Genomic DNA, 13,793 nt, shown 5'->3' with positions numbered 1-13,793 from the left:
GTCTCAAACTCCTGACCTCAAGCCATCCTCCTGCCTTGGCCTCCCAAAGTGTTGGGATTATAGGTGTGGGCCACCACACCCGGCAAGGTCTTTTGTCTTAAATGTAAAATTTAGTGAACTCACTCTTAACGAAATCTTTTGGTCACCTTTAGAAAAAATCTGCTAAAAGTAATTTTCCAGGTAAATCAATGTATTATTTGCCATATGATGTTCTTTCTAATATAACTTCATCCTTTATAGTTCATTCACTAGTTAGAAACTAGAAACAAATAAAAGCTGCATCAGATGAAAGTGATAGCTAAGATTTGGCAGATAGTATTAACATGAGAAGATTAACTGAAAAGACAGGTGAGGCTGGGCGTGGTGGCTCAAGCCTGTACTCCCAACACTTTGGGAGGCAGAGGCAGGTGGATCACCTGAGGTCAGGAGTTCAAGCCTGACCAACATGATGAAACTGTCTGTACTAAAAATACAAAATTTGCTGGGCGTGGTGGCACATTCATGTAATCCCATCTGCTTGAGAGGCTGAGGCAGGAGAACCGCTTGAACCCAGAAGGCAGAGGTTACAGTGAGCCAGGATTGCACAATTGCACTTCAGCCTGGGCAACAAGAGTGAAACTCCATCTCAAAAAAAAAAAAAAAAAAAAGAAAAGAAAAGAAAAAAAGATAGCTCATGTATTCTCAGTGACAGATTACATAAAGGATCCATATAGGAACGCCTTACTCTCCTCAGAGCCTTCAGGTCATCTGGGAGAGGAGTAAATCCCTCACCTAGAATTCCTGGATACACTGATTGCTGAGTTTTGACCCTGGTAGAATGCTGATGGATTAGCAAATAAGTGTAAAAATAAAAGAATATTTTTCTCCCAAACCAAAAGTTTGGCAGAAATTAAGCTGTAATTTCTGTTTATGATAGAATAGAGAGAAACGTGTGTCTCCTTATTGTGATAGACAAATTCAGACCTTAAAGAATTTACTAAATTGTTATGGTAGTTTCAATGCTACTTTTCATTTACATACAACTTTTGGCTTTCACGAAACAATTGTGCATTACTTTATTTGATTCTCACAATAGCCTTGAGAAGAAAAGAGGACATATATCACCACATATTTTTGACAGATAAGGAAAATGAGGCACAAAATACTTAGCTAATTTCATTCCATCCCAGAGGCAAGTTGTATTGGGATAAGAACTCGAGAATCATTCCCTTTTGCTAGACCTCTTTTTACTAGCTCACTGTCTCTCAAATACTATGTAAAATAATAATAATAATTTTCCTGTGCACTTGAAGCCCCCAAACATAGTTTCTTTGGACATAAAGGGCTCATGGATGAATTAAAATAAATCAGTTAAAACCAAGAAATTGTATGCATATTTCACTTGAATGTTTGTGTATTTATCTTGGGATGGACTTCTAGCAACAGCTTTTACCCTATTATTGGAGGGACTCTGTCATTTTAAAAACAGGTTAAGAATCCTTACTCCCCCAACTTGTTTTTATGACTTCAAAATCAAGTTAGCAAGATGACCCATAGTTGCTATCATATTTTCTTATTTTGTGATTGTTTCTAATGTGCTCTTAACTGTATTATTTATTATAGATTTGATCTGGAAGATGTGAGAAACATGGGATTGTTTCAGAAGTGGTCTGTCATTCCTATTCTGGGACTAATAGAGACCTCTCTATATGACAACATACTCTTGCATAATGCTCTTTTACTTCTTCTCCAAATTTTAAATTCTTGTTCTAAGGTAGCAGATATGTTGCTGGATAATGGTCTACTCTATGTGTTATGTAATACAGTAGCAGCCCTGAATGGATTAGAAAAGAAGTAAGTTTAAAATTATTATTTAAAATTACATCTGATAAATACTTTAGAACAGGAAAACTTTAGTATTAGTTTACTTTACTACATGAGTTTACCTATGTAAGAAGCCTTTCTGTGTACCTCTGAACCTAAAATAAAAGTAAAAAAATAATAATAACAGAAAGAAAGAAAAAAAAAGCAAGAAATTGTATTTACTGAATGTCCCTGTATGCTACTTTATTAACTGGCCCAAGTTAGTTTCTAACCCTTTCTTGATTTGGAAAACCCAGATGGAGAGAAGCATTGTAGGCCTAATATCGTACATTGAGGTAGATTATCAAGATTAAGATTGAAGACCAGAAGTAACTAATTCATATTTATTGGATATTTATAAATAATATAAATGCAAATCTATTACCTCTTTTAGTCCTAAAAATAACCCTAATTTATACAAGTGAGATTCAGAGAGGTTAATTAATTTAGTCAAATTCACCTTCTCTGAAAAGTCTTCGCAGAATGTTCCTGTTCATACCCACACAATCTTCATCCTTAGTGTGGACTAGAAACTGCCTATGTGTTCTTATAGTATCGTGTATTAATCTCTAGTGTTACACTTACAACCATTTACTATTTATAGTAATCTGTTTACTTGTCCAGTTCTCTGTAAAACTATGTATTTCTGACAGGTGTCAAAGTGTATCTTATTTCTATTTCTAGCATACATACTACATATTACTTGCCATAGAATAAGCATGAATAAATACTGAATGACTGCATGAATGAGTGCAAGCTGGTCGAACAGGAATTTAAACCATTTAAATCAGTTAGCTGTGTCTTAAATTATTTGTTCTTTTTCTTATAAATGTTCTGTTTTCTTCTTTTGTTGTTATCTTTAGCATTCCCATGAGTGAATATAAATTGCTTGCTTGTGATATACAGCAACTTTTCATAGCAGTTACAATTCATGCTTGCAGTTCCTCAGGCTCACAATATTTTAGGGTTATTGAAGACCTTATTGTAATGCTTGGATATCTTCAAAATAGCAAAAACAAGAGGACACAAAGTAAGATTTAATTTTTATGAATTTGGGGAGGGAGTTGTATAACAGACAAACCTGTTATTTGAGCACAATCTCTTTCTTCTTAGAAACTCTTTTACTAAAAGTTTAACATTAATTTTGTAATAGTATCTATCAGTTTTTAAAAAGAAGCCTAAAAAGGCTTGAAAAAGTGGCAAAAATAGAAAAAGTGATTCCCCCATGTAGTTAGTAGTTGGCAATACATAAGTGAAAGATGTCACTGATTTTTCTTACCAAGTAGAATTTAAAAGTGTATGTTGCATAGTAATACCCTTTAGTTTTCTTTAATGGTAATTATTAAAGTGAATATGAAACAAAAAATATGATAATTGCCGGTTAAACTTTTGCCTTATATAGAAAAAAAGCCTGTTCTTTGAAACAATTTTTAAAATGAAATAAATTTATGAGCTAATATTTTTCCATTGAAGGTTTTTTAGTGACCATTTGTAAATTTGCTTTAAAATTGCTTTTAACAAGAATTTAAAAATGTCTACTACCATCATCCCCATGCTGATCAAAATTTAAAAATTTATATCAAAACATTATTGTCATGATACATAAAATCAGTTCAATTAAAAAATTAGTAACCACATAGCTTGAAAACATTCTAGTATCTTCTGTTTTTAGATATGGCTGTTGCACTACAGCTTAGAGTTCTCCAGGCTGCTATGGAATTTATAAGGACCACCGCAAATCATGACTCTGAAAACCTCACAGATTCACTCCAGTCACCTTCTGCTCCCCATCATGCAGTAGTTCAAAAGCGGAAAAGCATTGCTGGCGAGTATTGAAATCATATTTTAATAACCATAAATTGAGGCTAGCTTGACTTTCCTATGTTCTTATGCCATTCACACTTTTAAAATATTTCTTGTTTTACATAAAATTTAAGAAAGATTTTTTCCTGAAGGAAACTATTCTGCTCCTTACTTTTAGTGCTTTTCTCATTCAGTTATTTCTTGAGCACCTGCCTACCATGTGCTGAGCATTGTGCTAAATATTGGAGATACAATGATGAAAAAAACAGACACAGATTCTGCCCCTGCAGAGATTGTAAAATAGTAGGGAAATGTAGAGGGTAGGAATAGAGATTATAACAGGGCAATCTACATCAGGAGTTAGGGAAGTCTCTGAGAAAGGTGTCCAGCAATCATGTTGTGGCATGCAGGAAGCTGAGCATTAATGCTAGAACTGATAAAGAATCTGTTTCTACTCAGGACAAAAGAGATGTACAACTGGGAGGGCAGCTAAAGAAGAAACAGTGCATTCAGATATTAAATAAGGAAGAATGTCATCAAATAATAAACATTAATATTGTTAGTCTTCCTTATTTTTTCTACAAAATCTGCTATCATCTTTACCCAGAAAGATAACATGAACACCACATACACAGGATATACACACATACATATATATACATAGTGGATAAATATGCATGTACACATGCACACACACACACCATCTCCAGAGTATTTGGTAAATTGTTTGAAATTTAATCACTCTTACTGTCTTAAATTCACTTAAGTTCAAATCTTTCTTTCACCCGTGTTAAGCTACTTCTGTGTTCAATGCTATGCAAAAATTTTAAACCATGTGAAAAACTCACTTGTAAAGAAAAGCTACCAAGTACCCATTGTTTTGCAGTAGTATGTTTAAATTATGCTAAATCAAACTTATATAAATAAAACTTCTAAAACATCTATGTAACTAAACTTACTGCCCTCTACATTCTTCCTTATTTAATATCTGAATGCACTGTCTCTTCTTGAGCTGCCCTCCCAGTTGTACATCTCTTTTGTCCTGAGTAGAAACAGATTCTTTATCAGTTCTAGCATTAGTGCTCAGCTTCCTGCATGCCAAAACATGATTGCTGGACACCTTTCCTTTGCAGGACTCCTTATGTAGTCAGTGACTGCTTAGATGGAATTTGCCCTCTCTTGATATCAGAAAGTATACCTTTACTACCCCTGCTGTTTCTTTTGTATTGATACTTCTCATTCTCACATCTGTTCCTCCTCTGCTTCCATCTCTAGATCTCTGGTTTTAGTTAATTATCACCTTGTGCCTGGGCTAACACAATAGTCCTCTTGCTATTTCCCATTTGGTCAATGATTTCTCTAGCAGTCTTTAGTCTCTCTCTTTAGATACTAGCATTTTGTCACCTTGAGCCTTAGAGCCCTACGTAACTTCAAGTTTATTATTTTTTTTTAGTTTGAGTCATTTTAAAACAGATAATGAACTTTTAGTCTTTTCACTAGATGGCTGTCCTTTTTTCTGACTTCTGTAGCTGCTTATTATACTTGGACTTGTCTTTTTCACTCTAAGTAAATGTGATTGCTGCAAGCTATAGGAGACTTACAGAATCCTACAAGTTTTTAGCTTAATAAAAGACCTTAAAAGTCATCCAGTCCAGCTTCCTCATCTTAAGACCCACTGCATCCTAGAACTGGGGACTGCTGGCACATGCACCCCTATACTCACCCCTTTGTGTCCTGCACCACATCTACTCATCCCAGGTCTATGGTATCTCTTAGGACCCATCTCTCTCTCTCTCTGAAGTCTCTCTCAAGAATCCTTCCTGTTTTAAGTACTACCCTTATTGAAATTCTGTCTTTGTGAATCTAGTTTGCAAAATACCACTTTATATGTGTTCGGTTGTTGCTTTCTAATTGTTTCTAAGTTGTTTTTTTACACATATACTTGGAGAAGATTGTGCTTTTTATTTCTCCACTATTACTTAAAAGTATCTTCAAAAGTATATTGGCTTTGTATGCTACAGGTACAAAAACTGCAGAATACTGAAGCTCTTCTGTTTCTGAGCAGTGTGGTTACAAAAACTAATTCAAGTCCATTTGTCCATGATACTAAAGGGACATAGAGGGATTTCTATTTCTGTCATGTCTATCAATTAGGTAATGAATTGTTCCTTCAAAGACTCAAGCCGTTCTCTTTACTGATAAATGTTTAGGTGTGGTAGGGGGGATTCCTAAATAGATTCATTTAGCATTTGTTGAAAACTACTGAGATGAGTGACACCTCCAGCCCCACTGCCACTACCCTTCACCTTCAGCAGGAGTTGTGGGGACTGCCAGCAGCTGCAGCTTGCATTATGGCCACACACCAGACTCTGATAATAGACAAATTTACTCAAGCCCTGAACCCCAGGATATCCATGACTTGGAACCAAAGTTTCTTCAGCAGTACCGTCATTACATCTAGACCTTAAGTTCTTGCATTGCTAGAGGAGTTAGATACCATTTTATTGTCAGATTAATCTTACAACCTCATTCAGGTTTACCATTCTTCTGCTCAGCAGTTCCAAGTTGCCTGCTGCCCAGTGAACAAAGCTCTGACTCCTTAACCTCTATATCTGTTTTTGGTCTGGATATCTATATCTATACATATCTTTATATGTAATTTTACCTAAATGGTATCATGCTCTACCTACTGTTTATAAATTGATTTCTATTTCTGGTCATTATAGATATTTTTCCATATTAAGAAACATAAATATTCTTTTATTTTTAATGATTACAAAATAATCTATTATTTTGATGTGGATAATCTTCTGTAACTTTTATAGATAAACAAAGGTTTTTTTGCTTGGTTTTTGCTATTATAAATAAGGTAGCAATATATACTTTTAAATGTATTTTTTTACTTGTCTGCTTATTAGTATGAAAAACTTTACACATCACCCTTAATGCATGAAGGTAGAAGTAGTCAGCATTAGGATATTATTTAGAATGCTAGACATATATTTAAATTGCCATGCACTCGCACATACACACAGTTAAATTAGTAATTCACATACAAATGAACTTTATATTTCAGCCAATAATAATACTAACCATTAAAAGTATTTTATTATTTGTGAGAATGAGACAGGCATTATGTTTTATATTCATTATTTTATTTTATCAACAAAACAACTCTTTCTTTATCCGTTTATTCAGCCCTCAAACATCAAATATTTCTTGAGTACCAACCATGTACCAGTTGCTATTTTATCAGTCTTCATGGAACTTGTACTGGGGAAAATGATCAATAAGCATATAAACAAATATATTTAATATAATGTTAGATAGTGATAAATATCTACCGGTGAAGTAAGCTCTGTTTTCTTTCTAATCCACATCTTATGCATGAGAAAACTGAGGTTTAGAAAGAAATGTGCTTAAGGCCACACTAGCTCTGTGTGGCTTCATAGCAGGAGTGCTGAAATACCCTCCCACGTTTTCTAGTATTAATACCTAGTACTAAAGAAGACTTACTTAACATTTCCTTATTCAGTGTATTATCATACCGCTGAATTACAATCATCAGCTGCACGTACAGCATGAAAGCTGTCAGATGTAGACATTAGGAAGAATCTGCTTAAACTAAGTATATTGTTTGACAGTAAAACTCTTGAATATATACAGGATATGAATTTTTGTATTTTCTTTTTTTTTTGCCTCAAAAGTGACTATCAAAATACATTAACTGATTAAGAATACTAATTACCCAAAATACTGAGCAATCTAAAATAGCATTAAAATATTTAAATATCTTACAGGATAAGTCTTTAAAACCTGTTATAATTTAGTCATATGTAAGTAATTTTTGTAGAGGTTATTTATAGAAATTGATATATGTTTTCATAATTTAAAACAAAGGTTCAATTCCAATGAAGGGTTCCATTATTCCTCATCTACCAAGACATCATTTTGGTTCCTATGGTCAACTTCCGATGCCCTTCTCCTTCGGTCCATTAAATCAAGACTCATCCCCCCAGTTTTCTCCTGGATGCACTACCTGTGTTGTACCTCCTGGAGCAGGTGCAGTAATGGTGCAGGAATGCCACTCCTCTCTGTTCAGTCTGAGGAAACCTTTCTCAGGAAATGCTTTTGTAGCATTGAATTCCAAATGATGCATATGTTTTAAATCATTTTAATAACAAATCACTGGAATTATATTCACCTTCCTGATCTCTTCACTTTCATTGACTGATTTCTACTTTGTCACTATACACAGTTTTTAAAACTACTTTATGAAATTCAACAACAGTAATTACCCAGAAATAGTAGTATTCTTACTAAAAAATTATGTGCATTAAAACTTGATTTTGGAATACAAAGAAGTGAAACAGTATTTGAAACTATTTTATCAAAATGTTCTGAACTATTTGAGCCCATTTAATACTTTTTAACTCGAACTTTGCCAAATGACATCTGTTTTACTAAGCTGTGTCACTAGCTTCAACATTGTTATTTAGGACTTTGAAACCAAAAGTACTGTTGCACTTCTTCAAAGAGGGAGAAGCATCATTTTCTCTTAATCACTCTTTCCTTTCTATAAATTGACTTTGTAGTAAATAAGGTTGTTTTCATGGTCTGGTAATCAAAAAATTTCAGCAAAAATAGTTTCCTTGATCCTTATTAACACTGGGATTTGATGTTTTAATTTATATACTTTTAAAGGTCCTCGAAAATTTCCCCTTGCTCAAACTGAATCGCTTCTGATGAAAATGCGTTCAGTGGCAAATGATGAGCTTCATGTGATGATGCAACGGAGAATGAGCCAAGAGAACCCTAGCCAAGCAACTGAAACGGAACTTGCGCAGAGACTACAGAGGCTCACTGTTTTAGCAGTCAACAGGATTATTTATCAAGGTAAGACTATAGGATTAGTTTGTTTTTCCTCAGATTTTAAAATGAAAGAGAAGTAATCTAAGAGGAAACTGGTTGGTTTTCAGATGTTTAAGCAGCATTATTTTTCAGTTCTTAACATCCATAGTATTAAGAGTTTCTTATTTGGAACTGATAAGTCTTGAATAAAAGTCCACTTTGAATGTGTTCGATGCTAGCCCAGACTGACCAGTTTAAAACCATATGGCACTTCCAGTATGATCTTTTGAGATCGTTGTAGATTCACATGCAGTTAAGGAATAATACAGAGAGAGACCCTGTGTACCCTTTACCCAGTTTCCCCCATGAATCTTGCAGAACTGTAGTATAATATCATCACCAGGTGAGTAACATCGATACAGTCAGCAGCATTTCCAGCACCACAAGGATCTCTCATATTGCCCTTCTCTTAGCCACACCCACTTTCCTCTCACCCCCAGCCACTCAGCCCTGTAACTGCTAATCTGTCCTCCATTTGTATATTTTTGTTTCATCAAGAATGTTATATAAATGGAAGCGTACAGTATGTAGCCTTTTGGAATTAGTTTTTTCACTCAGTGTAATACTCTGGAGAGTCATTCTGGTTGTTGCATATATCAATAGTTCCTTTTTTTCTTGCTGAGTGATATTTGTGGTATGGATGTATGAATCTGGGTTGTTTCCAGTTTTTGGCTATTACAAATAAAGCTTCTGTAAGCATTTATGTGCAGGTTTTGTAAGAATATAAGTCTTTATTTTTCTGGGGTAAGTGCCCAGGAGTGCAGTTACTGGGTCATACGGTAATTACATGTGTAGTTTTTTAAGAAACTGCCAAACTTTTCCAGAGTGGCTGTAGTTTTACATTTCCATCAACAGTGTATGAGTGGTCCAAGTTTTTTTACATCCTTACCTAGTGTTTGTTGTTGTCACTATTTTTTATTTTAGCCATTCTGACAGATGTGTAGTGATATCTCATTGTGGTTTTAATTTGCATTTCCATATTGGCTAATGAATATATATGTACAAACTTAAAATGTAATACTTAGAGCACCCACTAAAAAAAGCTATTCAAAGAAATACACTCCAAAGCACTATAAATCATGTTCTCATCACACATAAAAAAAAGTGGTAACTATGTGAGGTGATAGATATGTTAACTAGCTTGATTATGGTGATTATTTGACAATGTATTCATATATCAAAACACCTTAATTATATACAATTTCTATTTGTCAATTATATTCCAATAAAGCTGAAGATTGTTTTTTAAAAAACACTATAGATAAGTCAAAATGGAATTCTAAAAAAATGTTCAGGTAACCCGAGGAAGACAGGAAAAAGAAAACAGTAATTGTTAATGACTAGAAAAACATGATAAACTCAAGTTATTATTATTTTTTTAGCTTTTTTTACTTTTCTTTCTCTCTTTTTTTTTTTCTTTTTTTTTTTGAGATGGGTTCTCACTCTGTCACCAAGGCTAGTGGTATGATCTCAGCTCACTGCAACCTTTACCTCCTGGGCTCAAGCAATCCTCCCATCTCAGCCTCCTGAGTAGCTGTGACTACAGGTGTGCACCCCATGCCCGGCTAATTTTTGTATTTTTTTGTAGAGATGGGGTTCCACCATGTTGCCCAGGCTGATCTCAAACTCCTTGACTCAGGTGATCTGTGTGCTTTCACCTCCCACAGTGCTGGGATTACAGGCATGAGCCATCGTCCCCAGCATTTTTTTTTTTCCACTTTTCTAATATACATTCTGTGCAACAGACTCCCAGACTAAACTCTGAAATTGAACCATGATTATCACATATACAGCACGTAAATGTATAGCACATGCAGAGAAACAGCTCTGTAGATCCACTCATGTAAATATGACATGATCTTTATGTTTGATTTGTATAATAATCTTATGGTTTTAGTCATTTTGCAGTTTAACTTACCTTCATTAGTCCATTAAATATTTAATTTGGAATTGTATGACATGCATTTTCAAATTTCTGTTATTTTACGTAAATTCACTTTCTACTACATTGTATCTATTACATCTAATACACCTGATACACATTTAAATTGTGATAACTGAATTAGTAATTAAATACAATATTTTTTACCAGTATTATTACTATTTATAATGGCAAGATAGCAGTGATATGACTAATTTTGTATTCTTTTTTTCAATTCAAAGAATTTAATTCAGACATTATTGACATTTTGAGAACTCCAGAAAATGTAACTCAAAGCAAGACCTCAGTTTTCCAGACCGAAATTTCTGAGGAAAATATTCATCATGAACAGTCTTCTGTTTTCAATCCATTTCAGAAAGAAATTTTTACATATCTGGTAGAAGGATTCAAAGTATCTATTGTAAGTAAATTAATTACATGGGAAATGTTCATTCACACAAAGGAAATAGAGGTTTTATGTTGACTGTATTATACGTTTTCAAAATCATATTTCTTTGTGCTCTTTCAGAGAGCTTTTTAAAACTCGGACAACTTGAATTTTTAATTATAGAATAATATATATTGCTAATTCACCTTTCCAAAATGACTCAACTCATGAAGCATTGCTTTTTAAGCCTGTAACCCTAGAAGACATTTTCTAGTGTTGTTTAGTAAGATCAGCATCAGAAAAGAGTAGATCATCATCATTGATGACTACTATGGGAGTTTACATGAACTATTTCTTTTTAAAGGACTGTATTTATGGCTACTTACTCTCATTTTTCTAATTATTATGAATTTTAGATCTTGGCCTAAGTTTAACACCTTTAAAATTATGTAGAGAATACTGATAAGTGTCAGGGTTCATTTATCATCATCTCACTTGGGTTTCTGCGGGTCACTTACAGTTGACACAACGGAACAAATCGGTCAGTTTACTCTATAGATAGCAAAAGCCAATCTAATTCTAGCAGAACTCGTAAATCATGACATGTCAATCTCTAAATCTAAACTAGATTTTGGTGTTTTAGCTCTGAACAGCAAAACCAAGTACAGATTCACTTAGAACTCAGTCACTCAAACAGGGCCCTTAGGACTAGATGTAATTAGAGAGGAGCTGTTTTTAAAACTCAGAATGAATTCTGAATGTACTGCTTCCAGTTTTGAACCAGATACAGGTGATTTGATCAGCATTTGGCTAGGCTTAGTGGGACCATAGTTAAAACAATTGGTTAATTGTTAGGGAATACTCTATGGTAAACCCATAGAGTAGTTTCCCCTTATCTTCAGAGGATACATTCCAGGACCCCTGGTGAATGCCTGAAACCACAGATGGTACTGAAACCTGTATATACTATTTTTTTTCACATACATACATACCTATGATAAAGTCTAATTTATGAATTAAGCATAGTAAGAGATTAACAATAATAGTAAAACAAGAGTTATAACAATATACTTTAATAAAAGTTACGTAAATGTAGTCTCTCCCTTTTTACAATGAGTAAATACCTTATTATACGGTACTTAACTATTTTCAGACCATGGTTGACTGTGGAAAGCAAAACCACAGGTAAGGGGGTACTGCTATATGCAGTGCTTAATTTGTGACTATTATACTCAATAATGTAGCACAATTCAAGTCTTTATTATGAATCCTTTCTCTTTTTTATTGCAAAATCAGTGTAGGCTTATTTATCATTGTTCTTTGATGCTTTTTTTTAATTTATAATTTTTGAGCCTTTGGTAATTTTTTCATGGCTTAGGACTTTAGCTTCGTTGTCCATGTCTTCTTTTAAACTGTGGTAAGATATATATATATATATATAACATAAAATTTACCATTTTAACCATTTTTAAGGATACATTCAGTGGCACTAAGTATATTCACATTGTTGTGCAACCATTGCCACCATCCATCTCTAGGAACTTTTTTTTTTTTTCTGAGATGGAGTCTCAGTCTGTCTCCCCAGCTGGAGTGCAGTGGCCCAGTCTCAACTCACTGCAGCCTCCACCTCCCAGGTTCAAGCGATTCTCCTACCTCACCTTCCCAAGTAGCTGGGATTACAGGCACCCACCACCACACCCAGCCAATTTTCGTATTTTTAGTAGAGACAGCGTTTCACCATGTTGTCCAGGTTGGTCTTGAACTCCTGACCTCAGGTGATCCACCTGCCTCGGCCTCCCAAAGTGCTGGAATTACACGTGTGAGCCACCACACCCGGCCGGAACTTTTTAATTATCCCAAATGAAACTCCGTGCCCAATAAATAATAACTTTTACCACCCCTTCCCCCATTACCCAGTAATCACTATTCTACTTTCTGTCTCTGTGAGTTTGACTGTTCTAGATATCTCATACAAATAGAAGCATACAATATTTGTCCTTTTATATATGGCTTATTTTATTTAGCATAATGTCCTCAAGGGTCATCCATGTTGTAGCATGTGTCAGAATTTCCTTCCTCTTTAAGGATGAATAATATTCCATTGTATGTATATACCACATTTTGTTTATCTGTTCATCCACTGATGGACGTTCAGACTGTTTCCACCTTTTGGCTATTTTGAGTGATGCTGCTATGAATGTTGTATGCCCATCTCTTTTAAACTCCTATGTGTATGGATATGTATATCTCTTTCTAATTTTGACTATTAAAACCAATCTGGAATAAAACGTGTTCCATAATCTTCTTTAGGGCTGTGTTGAGGCTAGCATGGTATTGCTTAAGCAGTCTGATCCTAATTCATTCCTATCTTGATTGATTTTAGGGTTCAAGTAAAGCCAGTGGTTCCAAGCAGCAATGGACTAAAATTCTGTGGTCTTGTAAGGAGACCTTCCGAATGCAGCTTGGGAGACTACTAGTGCATATTTTGTCGCCAGCCCACGCTGCACAAGAGAGAAAGCAAATTTTTGAAATAGTTCATGAACCAAATCATCAGGAAATACTACGAGACTGTCTCAGCCCATCCCTACAAGTAAGTATCTCAGCTTTGATAAGAGAAGTAAAACGTTTGGTGAAATACAAAGTCTGAATAAAACAAGAACTGAAATTAAACTGAATGTTCATGCCTAATTTATAAATATAATTTTCTTACCAAGCAAATTTAACCTAAGGTCTTTCTCAGGTGCTTTCACACAGGCTCAATTTAACCTCTGTGTTTATTTCCCAATCTTTTTTCTAGTGCCTAAATTAAGAAGTTCTGTTTCAGAGTTTCTGTCAGAAACTTTGTAATGTGTTAACACATCTTGAAGTGTTTTATTTAAGGATTGTTTGGAGGCTTTTTAAAAAAGCATTATATTACCTGTGAAACAT

General features: G+C 34.4%; 1 protein-coding gene across 15 annotated transcripts in view, besides 1 other annotated feature; it reads left to right on the top strand.

The window, feature by feature from the left end:
- LYST (lysosomal trafficking regulator) overlaps nt 1-13,793 on the top strand; it is a 222,683-nt gene that overhangs the window by 128,837 nt on the left and 80,053 nt on the right. For 8 of the 15 annotated variants that reach the window (XM_011544032.2, XM_011544031.2, XM_011544033.3 and 5 more), the window contains 7 exons: nt 1,603-1,833; nt 2,706-2,872; nt 3,515-3,667; nt 7,546-7,707; nt 8,350-8,541; nt 10,720-10,898; nt 13,249-13,455. In XM_011544032.2, coding sequence (XP_011542334.1) covers nt 1,603-1,833; nt 2,706-2,872; nt 3,515-3,667; nt 7,546-7,707; nt 8,350-8,541; nt 10,720-10,898; nt 13,249-13,455 — 1,291 coding nt within the window. Of the gene's footprint in view, nt 1-1,602; nt 1,834-2,705; nt 2,873-3,498; nt 3,668-7,545; nt 7,708-8,349; nt 8,542-10,719; nt 10,899-13,248; nt 13,456-13,793 lie in introns of those variants that run through there. The other 7 variants (NM_001301365.1, XM_047443034.1, NM_000081.4 and 4 more) reach the window with 2 other exon arrangements.
- Nucleotides 4,702-4,902: a silencer, noted in NCBI's record as "peak779 fragment used in MPRA reporter construct". NCBI's record gives its function as "represses an SCP1 promoter by STARR-seq MPRAs in K562 erythroleukemia cells {active_cell/tissue: K562}" and the evidence as "EXISTENCE:reporter gene assay evidence [ECO:0000049][PMID:32103011]".

This window comes from Homo sapiens, chromosome 1 (genome assembly GCF_000001405.40).
Source record: "Homo sapiens chromosome 1, GRCh38.p14 Primary Assembly".
Lineage (NCBI taxonomy): Eukaryota > Metazoa > Chordata > Mammalia > Primates > Hominidae > Homo > Homo sapiens.
Note: the sequence above shows the minus strand (reverse complement) of the source record. Positions and strands in the feature narration are given on the sequence as shown.